The 18,851-nt window shown below is 43.1% G+C and overlaps 1 protein-coding gene, 1 long non-coding RNA gene and 1 pseudogene across 2 annotated transcripts in view; all 3 read right to left on the bottom strand.

Moving 5' to 3' along the window:
- The window catches only part of AS3MT (arsenite methyltransferase), a 32,430-nt gene extending 17,500 nt beyond the window's left edge, over positions 1 to 14,930 (bottom strand). Inside the window, exons 1-9 of the mRNA NM_020682.4 lie at positions 14,807 to 14,930; positions 14,555 to 14,595; positions 14,189 to 14,316; positions 11,802 to 11,952; positions 11,167 to 11,303; positions 9,739 to 9,808; positions 7,365 to 7,446; positions 5,890 to 6,021; positions 5,409 to 5,551 (exon numbers count right to left, since the gene is read on the bottom strand). Coding sequence (NP_065733.2) covers positions 5,409 to 5,551; positions 5,890 to 6,021; positions 7,365 to 7,446; positions 9,739 to 9,808; positions 11,167 to 11,303; positions 11,802 to 11,952; positions 14,189 to 14,316; positions 14,555 to 14,595; position 14,807 — 885 coding nt within the window. The 5' untranslated portion in view covers positions 14,808 to 14,930. The remainder of the gene's footprint in view (positions 1 to 5,408; positions 5,552 to 5,889; positions 6,022 to 7,364; positions 7,447 to 9,738; positions 9,809 to 11,166; positions 11,304 to 11,801; positions 11,953 to 14,188; positions 14,317 to 14,554; positions 14,596 to 14,806) is intronic.
- Positions 1 to 18,851, bottom strand: part of BORCS7-ASMT (BORCS7-ASMT readthrough (NMD candidate)) — a 47,690-nt gene that overhangs the window by 17,500 nt on the left and 11,339 nt on the right. The window contains exons 6-13 of the long non-coding RNA NR_037644.1: positions 14,555 to 14,595; positions 14,189 to 14,316; positions 11,802 to 11,952; positions 11,167 to 11,303; positions 9,739 to 9,808; positions 7,365 to 7,446; positions 5,890 to 6,021; positions 5,409 to 5,551 (exon numbers count right to left, since the gene is read on the bottom strand). This is a non-coding gene — a long non-coding RNA (BORCS7-ASMT readthrough (NMD candidate)). The remainder of the gene's footprint in view (positions 1 to 5,408; positions 5,552 to 5,889; positions 6,022 to 7,364; positions 7,447 to 9,738; positions 9,809 to 11,166; positions 11,304 to 11,801; positions 11,953 to 14,188; positions 14,317 to 14,554; positions 14,596 to 18,851) is intronic.
- Positions 15,881 to 15,979, bottom strand: LOC124902567 (uncharacterized; annotated as a pseudogene).

The raw sequence follows: 18,851 nt of genomic DNA, 5'->3' as shown, positions 1-18,851 counted from the left end.
AGGGGTGGAACAGGATAGATGTTGGTTAAAGGATACAAAATTTCAGTTATCAGGAATAAGTTAAAGAGATCTATTATACAACATGGTGACTATAGTTAATAACAATGTATTGGAAATTGCTAAAAGGCTGGGCACCTCGCGCCTGTAATCCCAGCACTTTGGGAGGCTGAAGCAGGGGGATCACCTGAGGTCAGGAGTTCAAGACCAGCCTGGCCAACATGGTGAAACTCCATCTCTACTAAAAATACAAAAAATTAGCTGGGTGTGGTAGCACACACCTATAGTCCCAGCTACTTGGAAGGCTGAGGCAGGATAATCGCTTGAACCTGAGAGGTGGAGGTTGCAGTGAGCCGAGATTGTGCCACTGCACTCCAGCCTGGGCGACAGAGCAAGATTCTGCCTCAAAAAAAAAAAAAAAAGAAATAAAGAAAGAAAAGAAAAGAAAAAAGAAAATTGCTAAAAGAGTAGACTTTGATCTCATCACAAATAAATGGTGAGTATGTGAGGTAATGCATTTTAATTATCTTGATTTAGTCATTCCATAATGTATACATATGTCAAAACATCCCATTGTACACCATAAATATATATACAATTTTTAAAATTTGCCCATTAAAAAAATAAATAATGGGGGGAAAATTAGGGCTTTGGACTATTGGGGGTTTTTTCTTTGTTTGTTTGTTTTTGAGATGAAGTCTTGCTCTGTTGCCCAGGCTGGAGTGCAGTGACTCAATCTCAGCTCACTGCAACCTCTGCCTCCTGGGTTCAAGCCGATTCTCCTGCCTTAGCCTCTCGAGTAGCTGGGATAACAGGCACACGCCACCACGCCCGGCTAATTTTTGTATTTTTAGTAGAGACAGGGTTTCATCATGTTGATCAGGCTGGTCTCGAACTCCTGACCTCAGGTAATCCACCCGCCTCAGCCTCCCAAAGTGCTGGGATTACAGGTGTGAGCCACCATGCCCAGGCAAGGACTGGTGGTTTTTAAAGTGCATTTCTGGCTGGGCACAGTGGCTCACATCTATAATCCTAGTACTTTGGGAGGCCGAGGTGGGCAGATCACCTGAGGTCAGGAGTTTAAGACCAGCCTGGCCAACATGGTGAAACCCTGTCTCTACTAAAAATGCAAAAATTAGCCAGGTGCGTTGGCACCCACCTGTAGTCCAAGCTACTGGGGAGGCTGAGGCAGGAAAATCACTTGAACCAGGGAGGCTGAGGTTGCAGTGAGCCGAGATTGCACCACTGCACTCTAGCCTGGGCAACAGAGCAAGACTCCATCTCAAAAAAAAAAAAACCATATATATATATATATAAAACATTTTGCTTAAAAAATAATTGTATTAAAAATGGTTTTTGAAAGCCACTAGAACAAATCAATGGTTTCAAAGGCCCTTACCACTCTGATTCTGTGTATCTACTGGAATAGGCAGCACATCAAGGAGCAGTGCATTAGTGAAAAGCATTAAGGGCTCCACTATACCAAGGAGTATTTAAGAAATTTGAAGATGCAGCCGGGCACAGTGGCTCACGCCTGTAATCCCAGCACTTTGGGAGGCCGAGGCGGGTAGATTACCTGAGGTCAGGAGTTCGAGACCAGCCTGGCCAACATGGTGAAACCCTGTCTCTAATAAAAATATAAAAATTAGCTGGGTGTGGTGGCACACGCCTGTAATCCCTGCTACTCGAGAGGCTAAGGCAGGAGAATCGGCTTGAACCCAGGAGGCAGAGGTTGCAGTGAGCTGAGATTGAGTCACTGCACTCCAGCCTAGGCAACAGAGCAAGACTCCATCTCAAAAATAAATAAATAAATAAATAAGAAATTTGAAGATGCTTAGCCAGATGTAGTCCCAGACTTGGAAGGCTGAGGTGGAAGGATCCCTTGAGGCCAGGAGTTCAAGACTATAGTGGGCTATGCTTACACCTGTGAATAGCCAGTGTACCCCAGTGTGGGCAACATAGCAAGACCCTGTGTCTAAATAAAGAAATAAATACATTTTTTAAATTAAAAAAAAAAAAGAAATCTGGAGATGCTATTTAGACCAAAAAAATCAGAAGAAGCCAGGCACAGTGACACATGCTTGCAACTTTGGGAGGCTGAGGTGGGAGAATTGCTTGAGGCCAGGAGTTCAAGACCAGCCTGGGCAATATAAGAACCTGTCTTGGCCGGGAGTGGTGGCTCACGCCTGTAATCCCAGCACTTTGGGAGGCCGAGGCGGGTGGATCACGAGGCCAGGAGATTGAGACCATCCTGGCTAACACGGTGAAATCCCAACTCTACTAAAAATACAAAAAATTAGCCGGGTGTGGTGGCGGGCACCTGTAGTCCCAGCTACTTGGGAGGCTAAGGCAGGAGAATGGCGTGAACCCGGGAGGTGGAGCTTGCAGTGAGCCGAGATCGGGCCACTGCACTCCAGCCTGAGTGACAGAGCGAGACTTGGTCTCAAAAAAGAAAAAAAAAAAAAACCTGTCTCACCAACAAAAAAATAAAAATAAAAAATTAGCCAGGCATGGTGACACATGCCTGTAGTCCCAGCTACTTGGGAGGCTGAGATGGGAGAATCGCTTGAGCCCAGGAGTTTGAGGTTACAGTGAGCTATGACTGTGCCACTACACTCCAGCATGGGTGACAGAGAGAGACTTTGTCTCTAAAATAGATAAATAAATAAATCAGAAAAATGAAATATTAATAGTAAGTTCTTCCACTTTTGGAACAAATAATGACAGTATCTTCTTTTCACTGAACTTGCAGTATGTACCCAGTGTTTTGCTACATTATTGCTAATCCTTATAGAAATTCTGCAAAGTAAGTATTATTATCCCTGCTTTTACAGTAGAACAAACTGTAACCCAACGAATTTTGGTGACTTGTTCAAGTTTACCCAAGTAATAAATAATAGAGCCAGAAAACATATACAATTCTGTGTTCCTCAGTAAATGAGATTAGCATCTAATGAGTAGCACGCCTTTACTAACTTACTAAATAATAGTATAAAATGATTTTTATTTAGTTAATTACCAGAGAGATTTAGCATAATTTTGTTCTGGATTCAGTAATCAAGTCAGCTTGGATCATTCACCTTAACTTTTCCTTTAGCAGCCATTTCCACTAGTTTCCATTAAGTAGTGTTCTATAAACTTTGATCCAAAGCAGAATCGATTTCTTTTCTGTCTTGTGACTTAAAGTTCTGTGACCGTGATGCATGTGAGTGTTCTGACTTCATCTGTTCCTCTAACTACACTGTTTCCCTCACCATGGCATTCATAGGATGAAACGAATGACTGCCCAGAATGAGAATTTGTCCAGATTATTCAGATAAACATCATAAAGCAGAATACATGAATAAATAAGTAGAACATAAATAAAATTCCAAAATACTCAATGGGAAATGACTAGTAATATAGGCTTTCAAGAGTTGGTACTTTTTAGCTATATTTGCAGATACTCTGGGATTTTAAGGAACTGAGAAAGCAGCAAAGTTGACTAAATTTTATATTTCTTGTCCTCTAAATATTTTGATAATTTCTGGATTGATGCAGTGATGTTTTTGTTCCTTCTGTATTTATAAATGAAACACCTTTTTTTAGTGTTTCTAAACCTAAAATCTACTTGGTTTGAAGTCAAGTGGTTGGAACACTGTTTGACTTTTATTTGAAGCATGTTGTTGATTGAAAATTTCATTGAGGAAGTTTTCAATCAGTGTGATCAGTTTGATTCTGTAATGAGCACAGCACCTAATATTTTGAGGAGCTCTGTTTTGAGGACCAATGCTTAACGTGGACTTCGTTCATAAACAATATCCAATAGATTTGTTGACTTGAGGTCTGGTTTTTTTGTTGCTTTTTTTCCTAATAGAATTAAGAATTCTAATGTTGAAATTCTAATGTTGAAAAACTGCCCAAATTTGTATGGGACAAAGCCTAGAAAAGAGAAATGTAGATTGCATCATAATCTAAATCATGGTATGATAGGAAAGGGAAAGTTTTGGTGCCATAATCTCTCCTTTCACTGGTGTTGGACTTAAATCAGTTAAAATGTATTTCTGTACCACAATTTATGCTTCAATAAAAGTTTGTCTAGTGACATTCAGAAAAAAAAATAAAAAACAATAATAATAGAGCCAGAATTTGAACCCAGGTATCTGATTCCAAAGCCTGAACTTTTCCATTTTGAGAAAACAAATCTTACTATGCACAGGGCAGTAAAAATGCCAATTAGTGCCATCATCCAACATTAAAATTTCTTAATTCCTTGACACAATTAAACAATTGAAATACTATTGTACATACTCCTACTCTTTTCCATCCTACTTCTCTATAGCCCTATTAATCCAATGTCTGAATGAGGCTTCTTGTAAAAAGTTTTCTTAGGTGTGTAATGGTATTGTGATTATGCAGAGGGATATTACATTCCTATGGGACGCATGCTGAAATATTTAAGGGTAAAATGTCATAATATCTGCAACTTATTTTCAATGGCTCAGCAAATAAATATATATATATATATACACATATAAACACACAAACATGGAAAAATGTTCTCAATTGCTGAAATATAGGTAATGCCTATGTGGGTATTCATTGTACTATTAACTTTTCTGTATTCAAAAACTTCTTTTTTTTTTTTTTTTTTTGAGATGGAGTCTCACTCTGTTGCCCAGGCTGGAGTGCAATGGCATGATCTCAGCTCACCTCAACCTCCACCTCCCGGGTTCATGCAATTCTCCTGCCTCAGCCTCCAGAGTAGTTGGGATTACAGGCACCCACCACCACGCCCGGCTAATTTTTGTATTTTTATTAGTAGAGATGGGTTTTCGCCATGTTCGTCAGGCTGGTCTCGAACTCCTGACCTCAGGTAATCTGCCTGCCTCAGCCTCCCAAAGTGCTAGGATTACAGGTGTGAGCCACCGCACCTGGCCAAAAACATTTTTATAATAAATATTGAGGGCTGGGCACGGTGGTTCACGCCTGTAATCCCAGCACTTTGGGAGGCTGAGGTGGGCACATCACTTGAGCCCAGGAGTTCAAGACCAGTCTGGGCAACATGGCAAAACCCCATCTCTACAAAAAATACAAATATTAGCCAGGTGTGGTGATGAGTCTGTAGTCCTAGCTACTCAGAAGCCTGAGGTGGGAGGATCGCTTGAGCCCAGGAGGTCAGGCTGCAGTGAACTATGATTGTGCTACTGCACTCCAGCCTGGGTGACAGAGCGAGACCCTGTCAATAAATAAATAAGTATTGGGGAAAAAATGCTTTTTTACTCCACTTGAAACACACACATACATTTAAACACACACACAAACAAACCAACACCAGAAAAATGGGAGGCAATGCAAAGTCAAGAAAAGATAGCTGGAGCAAGGGCAAGAGCAGAAAGAATACCAGAAGTCATGGAAATTGTTTTATTTACCTTAAATGTAAAATTGGCATCAAACATTAGTTCTTTTTCATGTCCTGTAATTCCTCCATTGTAAATAACTTGGCATCTCTTGGTTGGTCCTGTCTTAGAGTGTTTGAAGAGGCGAAATGTTGCAGAAACAAAACGACAGTCACCTAAAAATAGAATTTATTCACGGTTCATCTCCAGCACTCCCCCAGTTGTTGCCTTGCTCAGCAGACAAGGAGCAAACACGTTATAAAGATGATTTTCTTCCTTGCATGTCATCAGTTATCTTTCTGAGCACTTCACTCTATTTACTGAATGACTTCAAAGTGCTTTATTAAATATCAAAATTTTTGGGGGGTTACCATTGTACAGGAGGCAAGATAGCTATTTCCAGATAACAGAAAGTATCCCTCAATGAGACTCCTTCAGAAGTTACTTACTAATCACCACATTTCAATCATTCAAGCTGTAGTTATAATAGTCCCTGCTGTCTGTCATATCTTACCGATAACTCTTTCCAGTTCCTTGTTTTGAATTGTAATGAGATTGGCAGTGACCAAACGTGGAGGGCAGAACCCAATTTTTTGAGCAAGGACAGCAAGTTCCTTCCAGTATAAAGCACCACCCAGACACTCACCTAAAAAACAAACAACAACAAAAAACCACAGACCAGCCAACACTTAATACAGTATTAAGGGAACTATTCTTCTATATAATTAATTAGGACATGGTATTAGTTAAAACATAGATCCTAGCAGTAGAAGCTAACTTGAGCATCCCTCCAAGGTCTAGAAAGCCATGGTTAAGACTGGGTGTGCTAGCTGATGGTCTCTAGGAACCATTCTTCAGGACACTCACTGGTGGATTGGTTCTACTCAGCTGCAAGCATAATATTCATGTATGCAGTACGCCACATTCTGAAAAGCACTGTTATGTGAATAAAGTAGTATAAAAAATAAATCATAGGCCGAGCGCGGTGGCTCATGCCTGTAATCCCAGCACTTTGGGAGGCCGAGGTGGGCAGATCATGAGGTCAGGTGTTGGAGACCAGCCTGGCCAACACAGTGAAACCCCATCTCTACTAAAAATACAAAAATTAGCTGGGCATGGTGGCATGCACCTGTAATCCCAGCTACTTGGGAGGCTGAGGCAGGAGAATCACTTGAACCCGGGAAGTGGAGGTTGCAGTGAGCCAAGATTGCGCCACTGCACTCTAGCCTGGGTGACAGAGCGAGACTCCATCTCAAAAAAAAAAAAAAAAAAAAAAGAAGTTATCACTGGGTTATATGATTATAAGTAATTTTTTTAAGAGATAGGGTTTTACTATGACACCCAGGCTGTACCTGAACTCCTAGGCTCAAGCAATCCTCCTGACTCAGCCTCCCAAATATCTGGGGTTACAGGTGTGTGCCACTGTGTCCAGCTTAGTAATTTTTTCTTTTTTTTTTTTTTTTTTGGCACTTTCCAACTTGTTAACGGTACCTATTTATTATTACATAGTAAGAATAAAGTTAATATTATTTTAAGAATAAGAACTTTTGATTTCATAGACTGATGAAAAGCATGCATTTATCTCAACTTCCAGACTATTAAAATGATAATAAAGGAATAAAGAACACAATAATGATGAGAACATAAGGGGACTAAGAGGACACCAGCTTGGGAACAATTGTCCTCATTTCCACACTAGAGTTTTCAAAGTATTTTTCCCATTCTTTATCCCATTTAATCTTCATAACAGCCCTATAAGGCAGATTGTATTATTATTTACATTTTACAATTTGGAAAACGATAACTCAAAGAGATGAATTAAACTATCCAAAGCCCTATCACTTTTGAATGGCAGAGGAAGAATGGAACCTTGGCCTCATGGCCTAACCCCATGTGATCTCATATAGCCTCATCCTGGCTATTAGCAGAAAGGAGTTCTGCACATGTACAACCATCTGCCTTAATACTAAACTAAACAAAATCACCTACCCCATAAAACTTTGTGTGTCCTGATTTCTTCTGGCAGTTCAAGGCTCGTATAGACGTCACTGAAATATAACTCCCCACCATGCTGAAACAGAGGCATATTAGTCCAAACAAGATGATTAATGATTACATTGACCCCACATAACAAAGAAAGGAATAGGGGAACAAAATCAAATTTAAAAATCAATAGCAATGTTTAAGCTGACCCTTTGTGAACAAATAGCAGCTGCCTCTTTAGTTACAATCAATAGTCAAGTGCCAAGGTTTTTTTTCCTCCCAGTGGCTTATCCAACAGGTAATAAAATCACATTCTAAGAGTGTCTGTCTCCTAAATAAAGATTTTCAGGTTACTTACATTTAAATTTTTAGCCAATCTGAACCAAAAGCAGCCCCAGGTCATTGTAGAACAGAGGATATCATCAGTATTCATAATCTTTTATCTCTTAAGAATAGTATAACTTTGCCAGGTATGATGGCTCAGGCCTCTAATCCCAATGACTCAGGAGGCCGAAGTGGGAGGCTTGCTGGAGGAGAGCAGTTTGAGACTAGCCTTGGCAACACAGCAAGACCCTCTCTCCCATATAGAAATTTAAAAACTAGCTGGGCATGGTGGCATGTGCCTGGAGTCCTAGCTACTCAAGAGGATTGTTTGAGCCCAGGAGTTAGAGGGTACAGTGAGTGTCACTATCTGGACCCCTCTAACTCAGGAGTTAGAGGGGTACAGATAGTGACACTGCATTCCAGCCTGGGTGACAGCAAGACCCCATTTCTATTAAAAAATATAACTTTTTGTAATGTTGTTATTTACTTTTATAACAACACATTTTATCTTTAAAATATTATCCTTAAAATGTAAGGCAAATGAGTGATCAGGAACTTAACATTTTATTTAGCTAATTTCAAAAACCTGGAAACCTGGAGATCTAGATTCTATAATAGTGTTTCTACCTTTTATAAGTACATTTTTGGTGGAGATAGTGAACTGGCGTGTAAAATGACATACTAACAAAGACATCACTAAATCATTAAATCATTTCTATATAGATATTTGTATTTGAGTTCTATGACAGCTTTGTAAACCAAAAATCTCAAAAATCTGTTGTCAATTTAAAAAAAAATTTTGGCCAGGCACAGCGGCTCATGCCTGTAATCCCAGCACTTTGGGAGGCTGAGGCAGATCATGAGATCAGGAGTTCAAGATCAGCCTGACCAATATGGTGAAATCTTGTCTCTACTAAAAGTACAAAAATTAGCTGGGCATGGTGGCACACGCCTGTAGTCCCAGCTACTAGGGAGGCTGAGGCAAAAGAATTGTTTGAACCCAGGAGGCGGAGGTTGCAGTGAGATGAAATCCTGCCACTGCACTACAGCCTGGACAGCAGAGTGAGACTCCATCTCAAAAAAAAAAACATTTTTTTAGAGGCAGTGATCACACTATATTGCCCAAGCTGCACACAAACTCCAGAGCTCAAGCAATCCTCTTGCCTCAGCATCCAAGTAGCTGGGAGTACAGGCATGTACCACCCACCCAGCTAGAATCTTTTTTTTTTTTTTTTTTTTTTGAGATGGAGTCTCGCTCTGTCTCCCAGGCTGGAGTGCAGTGGCACGATCCTGGCTCACTGCAACCTCTGACTTCTGGGTTCAAGCTATTCTCCTACCTCAGCCTCCCGAGGAGCTGGGATTACAGGCACGCACCACCACACCCAGCTAATTTTTGTATTTTTAGTAGAGACAGAGTTTCTCCATGTTGGCCAAGCTGGTCTCAAACTCCTGACCTCAGGTGATCTGCCCGCCTCGGCCTCCCACAGCACTGGGATTACAGGTGTGAGCTACCGCACCTGGCTGAATATTTCATCTACTATCATGAAGATACACATCTCATGATACAATGAAGGCTGTGGAGCTCCTGCAAGCTTTCCTTTTAGCAAGTAGTTAATGTAAAAGTTCCATCTTCTGTAACTTCCCAAAGATCTGAAATCATGACAGATAAGAAATCAGAAGCCCTGAGAAACACTGTACATGCTAGAAGAGAGTATATTCAAAGCAATCATTAGTAGTCAGTGCAAAGATTCCTATAGCTCCACAGATGCTCTTCTAGGATCATGTACAGCAGCAAATAGGAGAGACAGTCAAGAAAGCAAATACCTTAACACATTCAGTGACAACTGTCACCTCGGATTTACTACCTTTTGCAACCTAAGAGGGAAAGTAATCCATATCCGGGGTATTCCTGCCCCTTCCCCCTTTTGCCACCCCTTATTCATTTAATGGATAAATTAAGAGAGTTTGAGCTCTTAGTTCAAGGGGGAACAAACAAGACTTAACCCATCAGCTCTTACTGATGTTCAAAGATAATTTATCTCACTCTCCTCCTCACCTTCAGCACCCGATATGCCTCCTGAAGCACTTGTTGTTTATCAGGCACAAGGTTAATAACACAGTTTGATCTAAAAGAGAACAGATGAAATGTCGAGCAAATCTTCACAACACTCAGAGATCTGCAAATCCTTTCAGACCCTAAAGGTGGTTCCCACCGTTCTGTCAAAGCTACCCCATTCTTACCGCCTCCCTCCTCTCTTTCTAATGCCTTCAACTAAGCTTTTCCCCAAGATCAGAGACAGAGTGCTTAAAATCTCAATAAATTGTTAGCAAGTTTGAATGTGCAGAAAATAACATCAGGCATGATTCTTACTTGTTTCTGTCCTGATGTTCACCATGTAACAAGATGAAACCTCAGACCAGATGCCTACTGCACAAGGCATTTCTTTCTTTTTTTTTTTTTCCCGAGAGGATGTTTCACTCCTGTTGCCCAGGCTGGAGTACAATGGCGCAATCTCGGCTCATTGCAACCTCCGCCTCCCGGGTTCAAGTGATTCTCCTGCCTCAGCCTCCTAAATAGCTGGGATTACAGGCATGTGCCACCACACCCAGCTAATTTTTGTATTTTTAGTAGAGACGGGGTTTCGCCATGTTGTTCAAGCTGGTCTGGAATTCCTGACCTCGTGATCCACCTGCCTCGGCCTCCCAAAATGCTGGGATTATAGGCGTGAGCCACCGCACCTGGCCGGCACAAGGCATTTCTTATGCTTCACGTAAACAGGCTATGTTCCTCAAAGGCAGCTGTCACTTGGGCATGATTTGACAATAACAACTTGAGGGAAAAAAGGAAATAGAATCCTATAATTTACCATGAAAATATTATGAAAGATACAGGTCAGCATGTATTGTAGGAGCAAACTTAGTGGTCCTGCTGGTCTTTTGGGTTCATTGGTTTGTGGTTAAGTTTCAAGTAAGTTCCCTCTTGGTCTGGTGTGTTCTGCTGCTGGTGAGCTCCAGCAGCTCAAACCAGCTCTCTCCCATTAGTAAGCCATGCTAAGTTTAGTTTAACACCCTAAATGAGAGTCAATTCAGCAAACAGTAATAGTGACATCTCTGTGTTCAAAAGGAAATGAGGGCTGAGCACAGTGCCTCACACCTGTAATCCCAGCACTTTGGGAGGTGGAAGCGGGTGGATCACCTGAGATCAGGAGTTTGAGACCAGCCTGGCCAACATGGTGAAACCCTGTCTCTACTAAAAGAAGATTTAAAAAATTAGCTGGATGTGGTAGCGTGTGCCTATAATCCCAGCTACTTGAGAGGCTGAGGCAAGAGAATCAGTTGAACCCGGGAGGCAGAGGTTATCGTGAGCTGACATTGGGCCACTGCACTCTGGCCTGGGTGACAGAGCGAGAGTCCATCTCAATAATAATAATAATAATAATAAAGAAAATGGGCTATAGTCATAACAGTAAGAATATAGACCTACACAACAATATCATGGCTCTCATTCTTGATTCCAGCCTCTCCCAACTTCTCAATGTAGCCATGAATAAAAGTCACATTAGATGCCTGGAAGCCATATTTTTCCATGTGATAGTCAAGATACTTTTCAGCCACTTCCACCTAAAGTAAGAAAAATATAGTTTTGATAACATTTTGAAAAAAATACACAACTTTTTCCTAAAAATTTCCTATCACTAACAGAATATACTTCCCCTAGATTATTTTGGATAAACATACAAGATTCCTGTGGACACGTAGGATATACTACAACCTGGGACATAAACTCCCTGCTGCCCGTGCAGTTTGGCTTGAATAAACTCCTCATTCAATAACAAAATCTTTCAGGATAGATGGCAGCAAGAAGGGAAAGATCAAAGTCCACTCTATCGTCACGATATTCATATCAGAGCAAACCTCCGACTCTTGTGTTCGCCCAGAAGAACCCCTAATTGTTCAAGTTATCAGTTTCCAAGACAGGAAGCACTAGTGGCACAAATGAGCATTGCTAACTAGAAGCTTTCTTAAATTATCCTTGAAGAGCCACGAAGAAAACAACTTTATTTTTCAAATAATGCTTTTGAGAATCTTTTTCTCCTTGTCTTCCAAATCATGCCTCACCTGGCCTTTGGTCATGTCTATTCCAGTCACGTGTCCTTTTTCACCAACCAGCTGGCTAAGTACATAGCAATCTCTGCCACTTCCACTACCCAGATCCAAAATCCAGCAGTTTTCTAGATGCTCAGGGATCACCAGACCACAGCCATAATATCTGGGAAATGGAAAACACATATTTTTTCCCTGGAGACTGTAAGACATGAAACCACTAAATCTTATACATACTTCCCTCCTCCCTCCCTCCCTCCGTTCCTTCCTTCCTTCCTTCTTTCTTGCATCATTCACTCATACTTCTGATGTTTAGTCTCCACTGAACTGGACACCCATGAAGGCTGGGACTGTATCTGCTTTACCACAGTATTGTTGGGCATGTGCTAGGCACTAAGACTTCATAAGCCATCTAAAATAATGTGTTCAGGCTGGGCGCGGTGGCTCACGCCTATAATCACAGCACTTTGGGAGGTCAAGGCAGGCGGATCGCTTGAGGCAAGGAGTTGGAGACCAGCCTGGCCAACATAGTGAAACCCTGTCTCTACTAAAAATACCAAAAAATCAGCTGGGCACGGTAGCAGGTACCTGTAATCCCAGCTCCTCGGGAGGCTGAGGCAGGAGAATGGCTTGAACCCAGGAGGCAGAGGTTGCAGTGAGCAGAGATGGCGCCACTGCACTCCAGCCTAAGGGACAGAGTGAGACTCCGTCTCAAAAATAAATAAATAAAATAAAATAATGTGTTGAATAAATACATTTAATCATTAGCTGAGCTTCTAATTCAGGCCCAGGACTGCGCTAGTTATTGAGGAAAAAATGTAAGGTTTCTGTCCCATAGGCGTTTTTTGTTTTGATTTGTTTTGTTTTGTTTTGTTTTGTTTTGTTTGAGACGGAGTCTCGCTCTGTCGCCCAGGCTGGAGTGCAGTGGCGCGATCTCAGCTCACCGCAAGCTCCGCCTCCCGGGTTGACACCATTCTCCTACCTCAGCCTCCCGAGTAGCTAGGACTACGAGCGCCTGCCACCACTCCTGGCTAATTTTTTTTTTTTTTTTTTTTTTTTTTTTTTTTGAGACGGAGTCTTGCCCTGTCACCCAGGCTGGAGTGCAGTGGCTCGAACTCAGCTCACTGCAAGCTCCGCCTCCCGGGTTCACGCCGTTCTCCTGCCTCAGCCTCCCCAGCAGCCGGAACTACAGGCGCGTGCCGCCACACCCGGATAATATTTTTGTATTTTTAGTAGAGACGGGGTTTCACCATGATAGCCAGGATGGTCTCGATCTCCTGGCCTCGTGATCCTCCCGCCTCGGCCTCCCAAAGTGCTGGGATTACAGACATAAGCCACCACCCCCGGCCTTTTTTTTGTTTTGTTTTGTTTTGACTGAGTTTTTCTCTGTTGCCCAGGCTGGAGTGCAGTGGCACAATCTCCGCTCACTGCGACCTCCGCCTTCCACGTTCAAGTGATTCTCCTCCCTCAGCCTCCCAAGTAGCTGGGACTACAGGCGTGCCCCACTACACCCAGCTAATTTTTGTATTTTCAGTAGAGACAGGGTTTCACTATGTTGACCAGGTCGGTCTTGAACTTCTGACCTCAAGTGATCTACCTGCCTTGGCCTCCCAAGTTCTGGGATGACGGACGTGAGCCACCGCTCCCCGCCGCGTAGGTGTATTTGAGAGGCGAGATAAAACATCGTGCACAGAAAACACTTCCCGTGATTTACGGACAGACCGAGTGACAGAGTGCTGTGGCAGTTTGGGGAAGAGGCCGCTCAAGGATTAGAGAAGGCTCCATGCAGTAGGTGGGACAGCAGCGTGGTGCTGGATGCGCAGGGTTGGGAAGGAAAAAGAAAAGGGAAGACCTTCCAAATTGGTGACTGCCGGCTGGGCAGGCAGTGCTGATGGAGTGAGGAAGGGAAGGGTCAAAAGGGCCAAGGTTGATTAGTGGGTGCTGAACTGCGCATATCTTGAATGGCAGATCCAGTGAGTGTGACTGTATTCTGTGAGCATGGGTAGGGACTACAGAGTGTTCACGCTGGAGGTTCTTTTTTTTAGGCAATTTTTTTAAAGTACGCATTTATTTTAGAGATGCATCTGGCTATGTTGACCAAGCTGGAGTGCAGTGGCTATTCACATCCCGGATCGCACACTACAGCCTGTAACTTCTGGGCTCACGCGATCCTCTGCCTCAGCCTCCCAAGCACTTGGGACTACAGGCTCACTGGCGCGCCCAGACTCATCGGAGGTTCTTAGAGCAGTAAGATGATGGGTGCTGAGATTTAGGATTTTTACAATAGACAAGGCAAGCTGATGGGTTGGTGGCTACGGGTTAATTCCCTAGTGACCTGCATCATTATCTTTTGGGAAAACTGCTGTTTGGGGTCTTCCTGGGGACAGCACAGGGCACTCTACCTTAGGGCTACTTCTTCGTGTACATTTTGCAAGGCTTCCCGGATGTGCTTGGGGACCGGCCTGGCTGTGGTGACACAGCCGTTGGTCTGGAGGTCTGCCGATCTCTTCAGCACCTGCCCGTAGTAGGTCTGACCCAGCGTCCCACAGTGGAGTGAGGGGTAGAGAGGGAGAAGAGCTGTGACTGCAGCGCGAGGGCTCCGTCACCACCTCCACCTCCACTTGGCCGACCTCAGTTCCCTGGAAAGGTCGAAGCCTAGACCCTGCCCTACCCCGACTCCAGGAGTCCCGGGGGACAGGGTGCGGGCCAGGCCAGACTTCCATTAGCCTAGGCTCCACTTGGGCCATTCCAGGCCCTACAGCTCTCACCTGCACGTCCTTCTGTATCTCAGCGTCACGAAGTGCAGCCACTGTCGGGAGCGGGAAAGTTAGTTGAAAGGAGAGGGTGCTGAGGGACGGGCATGAGGGAGGGGGCCAGTAAAGGGCAGGCAGCGGGCCGAGGGGTGAGGGGAGGACAAAGGTCTCGAGACACAGCTCGGGGGAGGCGCTCGCGTTCCCGCCTTGCGGGGGCCCAGGGAAGGGGCTGGGGGCTGGGGCGGGGCGCCCAGGGCGCGCACTCACTGTCTCCTCGGCCTGCGACTCAGGGCGCGCACTCACTGTCTCCTCGGCCTGCGACTCAGGGCGCGCACTCACTGTCTCCTCGGCCTGCGACTCAGGACGGCGGGCTCCCGCAGCCAGCTCCTGTGCCGAGGCCCCGCCCAGGCTGGCAGGCTTGCTCCGCCCGCCCATCCCGCTCTAGCCCCTCGCTCAGGCGCCCACCGCCTGACCCGCTGTTCCACTGTCATCCGCGCTGCTCTACAGGCTTTCCAACCAGGAGGTCGGTATCAGCATCCCCCTTGTTCGCTCCACTGCGATTTTCACGGATAAATCTCGTACTCTGATTTAAATGAACACTCACCTATATAATGATCTTCCCCCCTCCCCCTTTTTGGGAATAGAATCATCTTTTCTCGATCTGTTTTTTGAAGTCAAGTTTGTTGAGATATAATTCACATTCCGTGAAATCCATCTTTCTTCAGTGTGCAGTTCTGTGAACTCTGGCAAACGTATATACATCACCAAAACGGAGACCAAAATAGCTCTGGCCCACAAGTTTCTTCGTGCCTCTTTGTAGTAAATTCCCTCTTCCCACCCCTAGCTCCTGGGCAACCACAGATGTTTTCCCTCCCTATAGTTCTGCCTTTTCTAGAATGTCACATAGAGGGAACCATTAACAGTATGTAGCTGTTCCCAGTCTATTTTGGGTTGTATTTAGGAAAGCAACTTTGCTAAATTTATTTTCACCTATAGTAATTTTTGGTCAAGTCACATGTATTTTCCAGGTATTGTCACTTCATCTTGCAGAAAGTTTTTTTTTTAATTTTTAAATTTTTTTGAGACGGTCTCTGTTACCCAGGCCCAACCTCCTGGCTCAAGCGATCCTCCCGCCTCAGCCTCCCAAGTACCTTGGATTACAGGCGTGCACCACCACACCTGGTTAATTTTTGTATTTTTTTATAGAGACGGGATTTCACCATGTTGTCCAGGCTGGTCTCCAACTCCTGGGTTCAAGCAATCCGCCCGCCTCAGCCTCCCAAAGTGTTTGGATTACAGGCATGAGCCACAGTGCCAGGCCCAAAAGTATTTTTTGTTTTTTTAAATATGGAACACTTCACGAATTTGTATGTCATCTTGCGCAGGGGCCATGCAAATCTTCTCTATCATTCCAACTATATGTGCTGCCGAAGCGAGCACCCAAAAGTATTTTTAAATTATTTATTTTTACTTCCACAATTATATGTGTATATCTTGTTTCCCTTTGTGGTTGTAACAAGCATTTCTCTTTTTATAATTTAAATTAAAAAAAAATTTTTAGAGACAGGGTCTCAACTCTGTGGCCCAAGCTTAGCGTCACTGCGCAATCATCTCTGGATCCTTCAACTCTGGCCTCAAGCCATCCTCCCTCCTCAGCCTCCCCAGTAGCTGGGACTACAGGTGCAAGCCACCATGCCCAGCTTGTAACGATCATTTCTATTCATTAGGACAGTAAGGAAACAGGGAGATCCAAGTGAAAGGATATCTAAATGGATGAAGTAGACTCTTTCATTCATTTTTCAATCTCAGTTGCCAATAATACAAAAATCTGGTTGATATCCAGCTAGTAAATTTTCATCTTCTCTGATGTCAATTAGTTGTTACAAATTAATAGAAAGGTGGTGTCTTTTATATTTTTAACAAATTAACCCCATGGAAATAATCCTTGTTGGAATATTTCTACAGCTTGGAATATTTCCAACTAGTATATGTATAAAACTTAGTGTTTTTATAAGTATCACTTAGTTTTTGGGCAATCATAGAATGGTGAAAACACTCCTAAATATTAGTTTTCAAAATATTATCTTCATAAAATGAGCTCCTTTAGAAAAGCAGTTACCTTCTCATAGTTAAAATGATATCTTTATCTTAAAAGGGCAGATTAGTGAGAGGTCAAGGAAAGGGCTGTATCATTTTTCTCTTGTGCTTGTTTTGTTATCTTTAATTTATGGTTTACTTACAAGAATCATTTGACAATCCTTTTTTTTTTTTTTTTTTTTTGAGACAGAGTTTCGCTCTTGTTGCCCAAGCTGGAGCGCAATGGCGCAATCTCGGCTCACTGCAACCTCTGCCTCCCCGGTTCAAGCGATTCTCCTGCCTCAGCCTCCCAAGTAGCTGGAATTACAGGCATGCACTACCATGCCTGGCTAATTTGTATTTTTAGTAGAGACAGGGTTTCACCATGTTGGCCAGGCTGTCTCGAACTCCTGATCTCAAGTGATCCGCCTGCCTCTGCCTCCTAAAAGTGCTGGGATTCCAGGTGTGAGCCACCACACCTGGCCAACAATCCTTAAATCTACCTATTCACACACAGATAAACTGCAATAAAACAAACCACTGTCAACTTAAATTGAGTTACTCTCACTTTTCCTCCATGGTGTCTGGTGTGGGGGCTAATTTTGGACCAGACTGTGACCATCAATCATTCTGATTGGTCAGTGCCTCACCACAGGTTTTGTGGGGTTTTTTGTTTTTTTGTTTTACTATCACCCCTGCTAAATGACAGGAATGCTATATATCTGTATACTGCGTAGAAGAAATTAAGACTCTCACATCAAGTCATATTTTAAATATTGGCAAAAGCTTTTTTATTTTTTTGAGACAGAGTCTCGCTCTGTCACCCAGGCTGGAGTGCAGTGGCAGGATCTCAGCTCACTGCAAGCTCCGCCTCCCGGGTTCATGCCATTCTACTGCCTCACCTCCCGAATAGCTGGGACTACAGGCGCCCGCCACCACGCCCAGCTAATTTTTTGTATTTTTAGTAGAGACGGGGTTTCACTGTGTTAGCCAGGACGGTCTCAATCTCCAGACCTCGTGATCTGCCCGCCTCGGCCTCCCAAAGTGCTGGGATTACAGGCGTGAGCCACCACGCCCAGCCTCACAAAAGCTAATTTTTTTAAGATAAAAAACTAACATACATAGAAATTTTCTCCCCTACCCTTTAACAGAGGCCTGTGCACACCGTCACACATTCTATCTTGGAAGCTACTGGAGTGACAATTCCAGGATTATCCAGAAAGGCAGATTTTGGTTAATTACACAGAACCATCTTTCAAGAAGTGGAGATTTCCAAAAGGATCAGCACTCCTAAGTAAAGGATTCCCCAAATATCGGAAGCAGAAGCAGATGAATGACTGGATGATGGCTCACCTGAGATGCAGAAGCAGGGGCAAATGGATTGGATTCAGCTACTTCAAGATCCTTTCCTTTTCTAAGAGCTCTTTAGTATTATGTTGAAGACTAGTAATGAAGGTGGCACCCTTGTTTCTATGCATAAGGAAACTAACAGGTAATAGAGCCAGACTAGTAGTCAAAAGACCTACCATCAAGCTCAGTGACCTTGGGTAAGTCATTTCATCTTCCTGGCTGTGTTTTTTTCATCTGTAAAACATGGGGCCAGAATTTAATAACTTTTAAGGCCCCATACAGCTCTAATATTCTGGGGTTTTATACGACTCTTCTTCATCAAATATTATGTTGGGTTTTAAAACATACCCTTTTAAAAAATTCTTTTAGTTTTTTTGAAATAGAAAGTGTATTTTAAATGCCTTTTTGGTATATATTATAGTGACAAAAGATTTTATTATTTCTTATTAATGTAATGTGTTTTGTAACTATTACATCAACTTTGAAATTCTGGAGTTACATGAACAATTATTCAAAATATTTCTCTATTCAGTTTTCTAAGATTTTATTCGGATTTTTGCATCTATACTCATAAAAAAATCACCTACATTATCTTACATCCTCTTGCATCATCTTTCTTACATAATTTTATTTTTAAAATGAAAATCCTGTTTACTTCATTAAATGAATTAGTGTCTTATGATCATTTTCTATATTTTGGGAGTATAGGGGTTTTTTGTTTTGTTTTGTTTTGTTTTTTGAGATGGAGTCTTGCTCTGCCACCCAGGCTGGAGTGCAGTGGCTCGATCTCGGCTCACTGCAACCTCTGCCTCCTGGGTTCAAGCAATTCTCCTGTCTCAGCCTCCTGAGTAGCTGGGATTACAGGCATGTGCCACCATGCCTGGTT

This window comes from Homo sapiens, chromosome 10, assembly GCF_000001405.40.
Source record: "Homo sapiens chromosome 10, GRCh38.p14 Primary Assembly".
Classification (NCBI taxonomy): Eukaryota; Metazoa; Chordata; class Mammalia; order Primates; family Hominidae; genus Homo; species Homo sapiens.
Note: the sequence above shows the minus strand (reverse complement) of the source record. Positions and strands in the feature narration are given on the sequence as shown.